General features: G+C 43.1%; 1 long non-coding RNA gene and 1 other non-coding gene across 2 annotated transcripts in view, besides 4 other annotated features; one reads left to right on the top strand and one right to left on the bottom strand.

Moving 5' to 3' along the window:
* Nucleotides 734-1028: a silencer, noted in NCBI's record as "tiled region #12300; HepG2 Repressive non-DNase unmatched - State 7:EnhWF". NCBI's record gives its function as "represses a minimal TATA promoter and a strong SV40 promoter by Sharpr-MPRA in HepG2 cells {active_cell/tissue: HepG2}" and the evidence as "EXISTENCE:reporter gene assay evidence [ECO:0000049][PMID:27701403]".
* On the bottom strand, nucleotides 5128-5240 carry MIR6076 (microRNA 6076). The gene has a single exon (NR_106724.1). It is a non-coding gene; the product is annotated as a microRNA 6076 (primary transcript).
* Nucleotides 6374-6443: a silencer, noted in NCBI's record as "silent region_5713". NCBI's record gives its function as "represses an Ori minimal core promoter by ATAC-STARR-seq in GM12878 lymphoblastoid cells {active_cell/tissue: GM12878}" and the evidence as "EXISTENCE:reporter gene assay evidence [ECO:0000049][PMID:35858748]".
* The window catches only part of LOC100506446 (uncharacterized), a 43172-nt gene continuing 38623 nt past the window's right edge, over nucleotides 8607-13155 (top strand). The window contains exons 1-2 of the long non-coding RNA XR_007064156.1: nucleotides 8607-9936; nucleotides 11020-11100. This is a non-coding gene — a long non-coding RNA (uncharacterized LOC100506446). The remainder of the gene's footprint in view (nucleotides 9937-11019; nucleotides 11101-13155) is intronic.
* Nucleotides 9672-9761: an enhancer, noted in NCBI's record as "active region_8331". NCBI's record gives its function as "activates an Ori minimal core promoter by ATAC-STARR-seq in GM12878 lymphoblastoid cells {active_cell/tissue: GM12878}" and the evidence as "EXISTENCE:reporter gene assay evidence [ECO:0000049][PMID:35858748]".
* Nucleotides 9812-9951: an enhancer, noted in NCBI's record as "active region_8330". NCBI's record gives its function as "activates an Ori minimal core promoter by ATAC-STARR-seq in GM12878 lymphoblastoid cells {active_cell/tissue: GM12878}" and the evidence as "EXISTENCE:reporter gene assay evidence [ECO:0000049][PMID:35858748]".

Raw genomic sequence — 13155 nt, 5'->3', positions numbered from 1 at the left:
CGAGGGGCATCTGGTGAAAGGAAGCAACAATCAGTTGACAGTCTATCAATCAACTGGAAGTGAGCTGTTTTATCCACAAAGTAGGTTGAAAGAAGAGTGTCTAAGCACTCCTTTTTAGACAATAGAGCCTGGGTACAGATTACCAGAAATCTGAACCACACCAGAAGTTCTTAGTGCAGTAGATATTTAACAAGGCAAAATGCACGCCCTTCCTCTTCTCTAAACTAGTTCCGTGACGGTGGTGGAATGAAAGGCTTTGGCTTTCATACACATCACTCAGATATAAATAACTGCTTCTGACAGCCTCAAGCTTGACTTCCTCAAACTCAGGTCTTCACTTCCCCCAGGGCAAGGTCAGGTACACCTGCTTCTCCAAAAAGCGGCACATTGCCTTCTTCTAAGTAAATTATCTCCATATTTTTGAGGCGGAGTTCTTAAGAAAGGCAAAACCACTGCACCTAAGCAATCAGTTGCACTTCTATGCAAGAGTCTCCATCACTCTTCTCCAAAGACACTAACTACAAAACCAAATATGTGATTCTTGAAATCAAAGAAAACCTGCCATACACTGCTCTTTAATCACTGCCTCCCTGAAGGTACAAACAGCTGGACTGTAAAACATGCCCACGCAGACAATCCCTGTGTCCTGCACATGCATGTGTGTGTACACACATAGACACACACTCACTCAACGTCATGTGTAGCAAACAGTAGACAATTCCACACTTTCAGGACAGGCACCAGCCAAATCCTTAAATTGTGAAACTAAGAATGCAAGCAGCAAAACTTGTGATTTCAGGCCACTTTTGATTATATTTCTGGAGCTCAGCCAAGAGAGCCATTTCCAAGAAAAGCAGCTCAGACAATTGCACAGTCAGCTCTCCAGCCTTAAACCAAGCTCTTTGTCAAGCTAAGCGGGATGTTTCTCCTCCTGACCTTATCTCAGGCTCCAGCCCTATAACATGTCTGTTAACTAAGTAGCAAATTATCGGCCTTCACCAAGAATACACAAGGAAGAAGTAGAACAAATCCACCTCACATTGCGAGCAACTGGAGAGTCAGCACAACAAACGATTGTGTGCCGAGTACTGCTAGTGAACAGGCACAACAAGGTGCTGATCGTTTCAGACAAAGGGAGAGAAAGGAGTGAACTCCCAAATGTGAGCCCTACACCAACCACCCAGCCAGCCAACAAAATTGTTTCCCTCAAGTGGGCAGCCTTGCCTGAGGAAGCCATGTCTATAATCTAAAGCCGACCTACAGGATTTGTAATAAAGCTCAAACTGGACCTCCCTCTGTCCTGGGGACGGACTCAGAACATAGAATCCATCTGGGGGCCATTTGCTCAGATTGGGAGTAGCTGGAGGCTTGGGAGGGAAGAAAGCCACTGTAGTTTTCATGACCCGTGAACCTAGATCCAGTGTGCAAGCCAGGCTACCCTGAAGGTCCCAGAATGAAGCCTTTCTTCCTCGTTAGACACGTAAGTCCAAGGGAACTGCACTTTAAATTCCATAAATACATAGTAAGTGAATAAATAAGTCACTGACCATTTATATGCATAGATAGCATTTTGGGTGGCAACCGCTGACTTAGAACATTTGCCCTATTTAGAATCTAACTCAGGCTTAACTTAGAGGAGACTATTCTGAGGTAAAAAAATTTTTTTGTTGATAGTTTTTTAGTTCTTTGATGTTAGAACTTATTTTGAGATGTTAAAAATAAATATTTGAGGCCGGGTGTGGTGGCTCACATCTGTAATCCCAGCACTTTGGGAGGCCGAGGCGGGTGGATTACCTGAGGTCAGGAGTTCCAGACCAGCCTGGCCAACATGGGGAAACCCTGTCTCTACTAAAAATATGAAAATTAGCCAGGCGCGGTCGTGCACACCTGTAATCCCAGATATCTGGGAGGCTAAGGCAGGAGAATCGCTTGAACCCGGGAGGTGGAGGTTGCAGTGAGCCGTGATCGCGCCACTGCACTCTAGCCTGGGTGACAGAGCCAGAGTCCATCTCAAAAATAAAAATAAAATAAAATAAATATTTTTAAAACTTAGGCAGCAAATGGTATCATTTTACTCATCCCCTAATTTAGATAATAAATTAGCCTCTATTTCTCACCCTCACAAATAAATTCCATACTGACTAAAAAGCCTAAAGTAAAAAATCAAAATGAGTATTAGAAGGAAATGGAAATGTGGCCCCATGCAGTGGCTCACACCTGTAATCCCAGCACTTTGGGAGGCTGAGGCGGGAGGATCGCTTGCGCACAGGAGTTCGAGACCATCTGGGCATCATAGCAAGACCCTGTCCCTACAAAAAATTAAAAAATTAGCCAGGTATGGCGGTGCATGCCTGTAGTCCCACCTACTAAAGAGGCTGAGAGGGGAGGATCGCTTGGGCTTAGGAGGTTGAGGCTACAGTTAGCCATGATCATATCCTGTACTCCAGCCTGGAAACAGAGTGAGATCCTGTCTAAAAAAAAAAAAAAAAAAAAAGGAGACAAGACATAAGAGAGTATTTTACAATCTTGAGATAGAGAAGGACTTTCTAAGCAAGATATAAAACCAGAAACCATAAAGAAAAAGAATTACAGATTTGACTGCATAAAAACTTTAAACTTTGTAAAATAAAAGGGCCTATATACAGACTAAGAGAGAATATTTACAACAGAACTAACATCCAGAGTAAATAGGACAGATACAAGTCAATAATAAAACACAAACCACCCGATAATAAGTGTGCAAAGAATATTCATAAGAAATTCACAAATGCAATTGGTGGAGTTGAACAGAACAATGCTGATGACCCCAGAATCTTGTTCCTAGATATATACCCAACAGAGATGATGCACAGCTATACTAAAGAGCATGCACGATAATGCTCTTAGCAACATTATTCATTAATAACTGAAAGTTGGCAACAGATGTAACCCAGATGTCCATCAATCAATAAATTGTGATATATTCACATAATGCAATACAATAAGCAATGTAAATGAGCATACTACAGCTACACACGAGTACGTGAAAGACTCATAAACGTAATGCGAATGAAGGAAGCTAGACGCAGAAGAGTGCATGTTTGTATGAGTCTGTTCATATGACAGTAGGAAACAGGAACGACTAATCTACAGCACTTAGATGTTGGGGTAGGAATTACTTTGGAGGAGGTCGATCTTTTTCAGGGGAGAGTCTTCTTTTGGGGAGAAGGTCTTATAATATTTTATTTATTGACTTGGGACATGATTACAAGGAAGAGTTCACTTTGTCTTAATGCATTGATCAGTACACCTTTAATGTATACACCTTTCCTTTTTCTTTTCTTTTTTTTTTTTTTTTTTTGAGATGGAGTCTCGCTCTGTCGCCGAGACTGGAGTGCAGTGGCGAGATCTCAGCTCACTGCAACCTCCGCCTCCCGGGTTCCAGCGTTTCTCCTGCCTCTGCTTCCCGAGCAGTCGGGATTACAGGCACCTGCCACCATGCCCAGCTAATTTTTGTATTTTCAGTAGAGACAGGGTTTCGCCCTGTTGGCCAGACTGTTCTCAAACTCCTGACCTCAGGCAATCCACCCGCCTTGGCCTCCCAAAGTGCTGGGACTACAGGCGTGAGCCACTGCACCCGGCCTATACACCTTTTCTGTATTTTTATTTTTAAAAGTTCCCAAAATTGAAATGGTCAGTAGGCCACTGCAACCAGCCTATACACCTTTTCTCTATTTTTATTTTTAAAAGTTCCAAAAATTGAAATGGTCAGTAGGCCACTGCAACCAGCCTATACACCTTTTCTGTATTTTTATTTCTAAAAGTTCCAAAAATTGAAATGGTCAATAGGCATATGATAAAATGAACAATCTAACTGGTAAATCCAGGAAATGCAATTTAAAATGACACTGTTTTTTCTGCACATGACGCTGGCAGTTTTAACAAAATGATTATGTCCAACGCTGATGAGTATAATGGTGGCTATAAAAATCAGAACAGAATTTTGGGGGAGAAACTCAATATTATTTACAAAAATTTTAAATGTGCATGCCCTTTGATCCAGAAATTCCACTTCTAGAAATAATATCCTTCAGAAACACTCATACATACACACACCCATTTGTGTATAAGAACATTTGTTGCAGCATTGTTTGTAATGGTGAAAAATGGAAAACCACCTATGTGATCCTTTGCTAAAATAGTGGGTAAAGAAACTATGATACATCTAGAAGGAATGCAACAGTTAAAATGGGGGATGCCTATATGCACTAACACAGAAAGAGCTACAGGGAATGTTGTTAAGTAAAAGAAAAAAGTAAGTCAGAGAACAGAACATGTCATGTGATCGTTTATGCATAAATGACCTGAATGGGCCGGGTGTGGTGGCTTACACCTGTAATCCCAGCACTTTGGGAGGCCGAGGTGAGCAGATAACGAGATCAAGTCCATCCTGGCCAACATGGTGAAACCGCGTCTCTACTAAAAACACAAAAATTAGCTCAGCGTGGTGGCGCGCACCTGTAGTCCCAGCTACTCGGGAAGCTGAAAGCTGAAGCAGGAGAATTGCTTGAATCCAGAAGGCAGAGGTTGCAGTGAGCTGAGATTGTGCCACTGCACTCCAGCCTGGGTGACAGAGGAAGACTCCGTTTAAAAAAAAAAAAAAAAAAAGACCTGAATGTCCTTAAAACATTAAAACCACACACACAAAAAATTAAAACAACGGAAAATATCTGATGTGGTTCATTTATCTAAATACTTCACAAATCCTAAGACAAATAAATTTAACTTCTCTCTTGAGAAGTTATATGCACTGTATAAGAATTCTCTGGAACTGTCTCTCTACACCAAACCTGAAAGGACTGCACCACAATGGGAAGGAACTATTTCTTGTTCCACAGCCTCCTAGAAGAGTCTCAGTGTCTCCTCAGAAATGCCAGCTCCCACACGGGCCTGAGCAATAGCTCATGGAGTCTCTCCAGACCTTTGTGCTTCTGAGGCACTTTTCAATAATTAACTAATCTGCCTAAAGGGTGGGGCGGGCTATGGCTCCCACAGACTCAGCACTCCCTTCAGCCAGCTGCCCTCTGGAATGCAAAGGCATCCATCCCCTAGGAATGGCTGTTGGTCAATCCCTGCCCCACCACAGCCCCCAAACTCAGGAGGGTGAAAGGGCCAGGGCAGGAAAGCAACTTCCCCTCTCAGATGTTCTCCTGGAGAAATTATATTACTCTCGCCTACCTCCACCTCTCCTCTGTCATGCTCCTCCAGCATCTGAAAAAGAACGTTCCAACAGGCAGCAGGACAAATTACATGTCAATGCTGTCAGTTTCAATGCTGCCCTTTGTTGCTCCAGGTCCTATGAACCACAGAAAAATGTATAGGTCCTTTCCATTTTTTTTTTCTTTCTGGCACAAATAAAATAAACAGCAGAAGCAGTTTCTATTTCAGTATTTTCAAAGGGATGGTGTCTGGAGGAATGGTTCCCAATCTTTGGAATTTAACAAACCATTAAAATTTTGAAAACCTTTTGAGAGACTAACATAGGACTGCTCACTTCTATTTTGCCAAGCACAGACACTTAAAAAACAACCTGAATTATTGTCACCATCATTTTATGGTGGGAGATGATTGGACACTTTAACCCCAAAACAATGTAATCATGACAATCTCAGATTTTAAAACAGGACTTCAAATTTAATACACTCAGATGCATGAGAAATACACATGTATTTCACGTAGACTGGTGAACACTTCCTTACAGACGCACCAGCCCCTTGGAAAGAACTGGCAGAGACTAAATCATAAGTTTCCAAACCTGACTATGCCTGAGAAAGATAGGAAGGCATTAAAAATAATAATAATAATAATACAGATTCCAGATTCCCACCCCATCCATATTTACTGTATCACCTTCTGAGGATTTCTTGAGACGGAGTTTTGCTCTGTCACTCGGGCTGGAGCGCAATGGCACTATCTCGGCTCACTGCAACCTCTGCCACCCAGGTTCAGGTGATTCTTCTGCCTCAGCCTCCAGAGTAGCTGGGATTACAGGCACCCACCATCATGCCAGGCTAATTTTTGTATCTCTGTAGAGAAGGGGTTTCACCATGTTGGCCAGGCTGGTCTTGAACTCCTGACCTCAGGTGATCCACCTGCCTCGGCCTCCCAAAGTGCCGGGATTACAGGCGTGAGCCACCTCGCCCGGCCGCCTCTGAGGCTTTCTAAGGGTGGGGCCCTGGAATGTGTATTTAAAACTTTTTTTTACTATGGTGAAATATACATAATATAAAATTTACCACTTTAACCATTTTAAGTGTACAATTCAGTGGCAATAAGGACATTTACAATGCTGTATGTAACTTTTCATCATCCCAAACAGAAACTCTGTACCTGTTGAGCAATCACTCCGCATTTCCCCTTCCCCCAGCTCCTGCCAAACCTCTATTCTACTTTCTGTCTCTGTGAATTTGCCTATTCTAGGTCACTCAAAGAAGTAGAATCACACAATATTTTTCCTTTTGTGTCTGGGTTATTTCACTTAGCATAATGTCTTTGGTGCTCATCCGTGTCATAGCAGGTATCAGAATCCCACTCCTTTTTGTGGCTGAATCCTTCTCCATTGCATGCATTTGCCACATTTTGTTTATCTGTTCATCTGCTGGTGGACGGTTCTGTTGTTTCTACCTTTTGGCTATTATGAACGGTGCTGCTATGAAGGTTGTTGTACACGCATCTGTTTGAGTTCCTATTTTCTATTACTTTGAGTATATACCTAGGAGTGGAATATGCTGGATCATATGGAAATTCTGTATTACCACCAAGGAACAATCAGGCTGTTTTCCACAGTGGCCGCACCATTTTACACTCCCTCCAGCAATATGCGAGTGTCCCAAGTTAGCCACATCCTCACCGACATTTGTTGTTTTCTGTTTTTGTTTTTATTACCAGCCATCCTCATAGATGTGAAGTGGTATCTCATTGTGATTTTGATTTGTATTTCCCTAATGATTAATGATTTTAAACATCTTTTCCTGTGCCTATTGGCCATCTGTGTATCTTCTTTGGAGAACTGTCTATTGAATTACTTTGCCTATTTTAACATTAGGTTGTTTGGTTTGTTGTTGTTGAGTTGTAGGGGCTTTTAACATATTCTGGATAGTAGTCCCTTATCAGATGTGTGATTTGCAGGTATTTTCTCCCATTCTGTAGGCCATCTTTTCATTCCCTTCACAGTGACCTTTGATACACTGAAGTTTTTTATTTTGATGAAGCCAAATTTGTCTATTTTTTTCTTTGGCTACCTGTGCTTTTAGTGTCACATCCAAGAAATCTTGCCAAATCAAAGATTATGAAGATTTAGTTTAGGTCCTTGATCTATCTTGAGTTAATTTTTGCACATGGTATAAGGTAAGGGTCCAGCTTCATTCTTTTGTAAGTGGATATCCAGTTTTCCCAGCACTATTGAAGACAAGGGTTTGTTTCCCGGCTCTCTATTTTATTCCATTGATCTATACGTCTGTTCTTATGTTACTACCACACTACGTGGTCTACTGTAGCTTTGTAGCAAATTTTGTGTGAGAAATCTCACCACGCTACCCGCTCCAGAAGTGCCTGCAGGAAGGAATGAAAGGACACAGGGGCGAGCGAGTCTCTGAGTATGAGAAGATCGTTGACAGCCCTGGAGCAGCAAGGGTGCTCTGGTGTGCGGCTTCCACCCTTCCCCTGATCGCAGCTGCCTCTGTTGGGCTAGCTCCTCCAACCATAGTGCTTGGTCTGTAACCACCAGAGTTCTGGGCAAGTCCTTAGTCTGAAAAAGGATGAAGAGAGGAGGTGTTGTGTGCAAAATGTGATTCACAAGAGTGGCCAGGAGTCAAAGGCCTCTGTCCCTCTTTTTTTTTTTTTTTTTTTTTTTTTTTGAGATGGAGTCTCGCTCTGTCGCCAGGCTGGAGTGCAGTGGCGCAATCTCAGCTCACTGCAACCTCTGCCTCCCAGGTTCAAGTGATTCTTCTGCCTCAGCCTCCCAAGTAGCTGGGACTACAGGCGCCCACCACCACACCCAGCTAATTCTTGTCTTTTTCGTAGAGACGGGGTTTCACCATATTGGCCAGGATGGTATCAGTCGATCTCTTGACCTCATGATCTGCCTGCCTCGGCCTCCCAACTTTTTTTTTAAATTAAGGAAATATCTCTGAGTCATAAAAGACCCCTCCTTGAGCTTTCATAGGCCAAGCAGACCCTGCTGCAGCAGGAAAAAGGAGGTTTCTTGACACAAATTGATTAATTCAAAGTTATTCTAAAACATTTTCTTGGCCTATTCATACACAAAGGCACAAAGATCTTGGACAATGGAAAAGCATCACAAAACTTATATTTAGAGAAACTACTTTCCACAGTTTCCTTTGCCCTTTAAACTCAGTCTCTAGCTGGGCATGGTGGCTCATCCCTGTAATCCCAACACTTTGGGAGACCAAGGCAGAAGGATTCCTCGAAGCCAGGAGTTTGAAAGCAGCCTGAGCAACACAGCAAGACCCCATTTCTATTAAAAAAAAAAAATTAAAAATAACTAAATAAATAAACTCATCCTCTCTTCTCCCTACCCCCAGTCTTCCTCAGGCACCAGTCTACGTTTCTAGTAAAAACTTGCTTGGCCACTTGTGTAGAAAGAGGAATTAATTTAATATTTGAATACTCAGCTGACTGGTTCTCCATGGGAGCAAGTAGCCAAGTAAATATCCAAGAGAGAACGAGGGAAGGGACAAAATGGCACCAAGCCTGAATTGTGAAGTCCTCTATCATCCTGCAACACCCTGGATATGCAAACCGAATATCCTCTCTCTTGGTGAGTCACGGCCTCCCACGCCCAGCAGGGTGTAGAAACATTTGACTGAAACCTGTATAAAATAGTAAGAACAAGTCAAGCAGGTAAAACATTTCCTGGCTGTCAGTTTAATAAAAGGTTCAACCCTGCTTTAAGATGGAAGGAAGACGGGAGGCGGGGTTTCAGAAATACAGGTTTTACATAATCCCACAGAAACCAGGGATCTGCAATAAGGCTTGAAGATTTTTAGTCTCACAGGTATTTCCGTCTGTAAACACAAATGCACATGGAAGCTCTGAACACATAGTTTGTGTTTGTTTTATATTAAGAGGATGGGCATTTCTTTAGAGCTCCAGGCGTTGAGTAGATGACCATTTGGAGGAGATGATGAGTTTCCTCTTCAAAATGCAAGATGTCGATCAACATTCATGCTGTTCCTATTTCTATTTTTTTCCTCCCTTCTACCCCTTACTCCTGAAATGGATAAGAAGAGGCAATAATAGCATCCCAGCAAATCAGAACTGGCTCAGATGCCAAAGGCCTAAAAGAGACGATCGCATTAGCAAGAAGGCCTGTGACTAAAAATCCAAAACCTAAAACTACTATACGTAAACCTAGGGCTCAAATAGCCTACACTACTGTGACATCAGAAGCATTATTTCTCAAGATTGAGAAGGGCTAGTGAAAACGCTTCTGGGCCTGCAAAGCTGTGAACTGATGTGCAAGGCTGCAGTAGCCCAAGCTGATCCTGATGAACACTGGAGCTGTCTCTGCCTCTTTATGTAAATAGAAAATGTTCCTAATAAACGTGTACTAGGTCGTTGTCGGTAAACACATGTTAGGCACCCGCTTGGCCTGCACCGATCTGACCAGATCTATTTCCATTTCCCCGAACCATCGCTTGGATGATGAAGCACATCGCAGAGTACTGCTTCATCACCATTCAGGAATTGTACCCTTTTAAATTTCTATATGGGTATGCGCTGCTTTTGACACAGCTTTTGTTGTAAGCAGGCACTAAAATAGAAGCTTATAATTAGCTATCTGGGGAGGCAAGTGTGTGGTAGAACAGAGCTCAGCAAGAGAAAAGTCAAGGCAGGTCCTGGGGAAACACTGCATGGAAGATGAGTAATACAGAGGTATGTTGAAGTGTGGCCACCCCACTAAAGTAGGGGGGAGGGAGTTCTGTCACTGTACACCTTTCTAGTTAAAATTTCCATACGTATTATCATGTAGTTCTGAAAGTGTACTTGCAATTTATCTAACACCACTTAATCCTGGAAACCTGTACTGGGCTGGAGTGTAAGATATATGATTCCAGACAGATCACAGTTCCCAGAGGGCAGCACTATGTCTGGTCATGTCTATATCTCCAGACCCAGGGCCAGCACCTGGCCCCACAATGGGCCCTCAGTTTGACTTTCGAATCACATCCTTCCAGATCACCCCGATTTTTACAGTCTTAACCTTTTGATATCTAAATCTGAGACTAGGTGTCAACTTTAACTCTCATGTCTCTACATTTCAAGCTCCCTGCTGTTATACTTAGTCTTGATACAGAAGGATAGAAAGGATGATTTTTGACTTCTGCTTTACCCCCATCTGAGTCTGGCTTACCTCAAATGGAGTTCTGGCTGCTGAACACCTCCCCGCCTTCTCTGAAAATACAGTAAGGGAACATACAGCACCAGGACCTGGGGACTGGGCCTGGACCCTGTCTACCACTCTCAACTTCTTTTCTCACTTTGTACCAATTCTTGCTACTCTTCTTCATATATTTGGACACTGAGTCTCTCACCAGTTCACTCTAATCTCAGATAGCGTACTAATCTATTTTCTGTGCTCAGATTATTAAAATAGAAATTAAAATGGACTTGAGTCTTGGTTAAACTTCAGATTTTCTGCCACCTCATTTTTAAGAGTCTGGCCTATAGTCCATGGTGAAACCCCATCTCTACAAAAATTAGACAGGCATGGTGGTGTGCACCTGTAATCCCAGCTATTCAAGAGGCTGAGGCAGGACAATCACTTGAACCGCGGAGGTGGAGGTTGCAGTGAGCTGAGATCGCACCACTGCACTCCAACCTGGGCAACAAAGCGAGACTCTGTCTCAAAAAAAAAAAAAAGAAGAAGAAATAAAACTCAAAAGAAACTAAACCTGCTCAGAGGATTTCAACATACAGCCAAGCAACCCAAAGTGATTTCTGTATTTCTCAATCCAGCCCAAGAGTGGATTGGCAGGAAGGGTGCAGGACCTAACCCAATGACAATGCTCGCAGGAGGAGCCCTCCAGAAGGCAACAGGTACGGATGTTTCCTGGTGCTATGCATTTCTTTTATTTTGTCTTCAAAACTCCCACCCAGGGAATGTGTCTTCATTTTGCGCTGGAGGCTGTCTCTCCAGTAAAAAAAAAAAAAAAAAAAAAAAAAGGGGGGGCTCCCACCCTGAGGAGGGCTCTCAAAGGGTTTTACTCAATGCATCCCGGAGAAATGGCTGCATTCGTCATGAATCCTCCCCTCCTAAACAGCCACATTTCTAGTAGTTCAGTGACAGGAGAGAAAATACTCATCCCCTCCTGTCATTCCCGGAAGCAGTGCTGGAGAAAATATAACCAACCAGGCGTGAAGTTACTACACAGAGACCGCACAGCCACAGGTGAAGAGGTTTTTGCAGCAGGGTGTGGGAGGAGTGGAGCCGAGCTCCAGGTGCAAGGAGGCATAAATCACAGAACCGTTGTGCTTCAAAAACTCCCATGTTGTTACCAAAGACCTGATAATTATGTCTGTGAACATCCTCTGCCTTCTTTTTACTACACTGATCTGTCCACTTACAGAACTAAAACTTCTAGGTTTTCTTCCCAAAGGCTCTGTATCTCTGAAAAATGTGAAGTTTCACTAAAAAGAAAACACTGGGCGGCTGGGTGCAGTGGCTCATGCCTGTAATCCCAGCACTTTAGGAGGCCGAGGCAGGTGGATCAGTTGAGGTCAGGAGTTCAAGACCAGCCTGGCCAACAAGGTGAAACCCCATCTCTACTCAAAATACAAAAATTAGCCGGGTGTGGTGGCACATGCCTGTAGTCCCAGCTACTTGGTAGGCTGAGGCAGGAGAATCACTTGAACCCACAAGGCGGAGGTTGCAGTGAGCTGAGATCGTGCCACTGTAATTTTTATAAAATTAAAATGAAGCATGCATGTAAGAGGGAAACTGCAATCAAGAAAGCAAAACTACATATTGTGGTAAAAGTAGCTGGTGAGGATGGTAAAGTTCAATACATTAAAAGAGGCTATTCTGATTCCCTTTCAGCCATCCTTTACCAAGCACCTTTATGTGCCAAACAAAATGCTAGATGTCTTTGGGAATCTAAGAAGGCAGTATGATGAATGATGTTTGCCCTCAAAGCATTTATAGTTTAATTGGAAATAACAGTGATAAATAGATGCAGATATAAAAATCAACAGGCAGGGTATGGTGGCTCACGCCTGTAATCTCAGCACTTTGGGAGGCTGAGGTGGGCGGATCACCTGAGGTTTGGAGTTTAAGACCAGCCTCACCAACATGAAGAAACCCTGTCTCTACTAAAAATAACAAAATTAGCAGGGTGTGGTGGTGCATGCCTGTAATCCCAGCTACTCCAGAGGCTGAGGCAGGAGAATCGCTTGAACCTGGGAGGCGGAGGTTGCAGTGAGCCGAGATGGGAGGCGGAGGTTGTGGTGAGCTGAGATCGCGCCATTGCACTCCACCTTGGGCAACAAGAGCAAAATTCCATCTCAAAAAAAAAAAAAAATCAACAATACGAGTACAGAAGTACAGACCTGGAGCCAAATTGCCTCCACCACTCAAGGTCAGAATTGAAGGGGGTTCCAAAAACTCAGCAATCAAGATAAATAGTATTTTAATATTATTAAATAAGATGTACTGTTATTATCATTATTATTTGAGACAGAGTCTCACTCTGTTGCCCAGGCAGGAGTGTAGTGACACAATCAAGGCTCACTGCAGCCTCCACCTCCCGGGCTCAAGTCATCCTCCATTCTCAGCCTCCCAAGCAACTGGGACTACCAGCATGTACTGTCATGCCCAACTAATTTTTAATTTTTTGTAGAGAAGGAGTCTTGCTATGTTGTTCGGGTTGTTCTCAAACTTCTGGCCTCAAGGGATCCTCCTGCCTCAGCCTCCCAAAGTGCTAGGATTTAAAGGCTTGAGCCACTGCCCCTGGCCTGCATAATTTTTAAAAAATAAAAGTTCATGCATAAAATCTATGATATACAAAATAGCAAAAGTTTAAATGAAACAAGCTTCACCTGGGTGCAGTGGCTCACACCTCTGCAATCTCAGCACTTTGGGACGCCAAGGTGGGT

This window comes from Homo sapiens, chromosome 14 (assembly GCF_000001405.40).
Source record: "Homo sapiens chromosome 14, GRCh38.p14 Primary Assembly".
Classification (NCBI taxonomy): Eukaryota; Metazoa; Chordata; class Mammalia; order Primates; family Hominidae; genus Homo; species Homo sapiens.
This window is presented reverse-complemented; position numbering and strand designations above follow the sequence as displayed.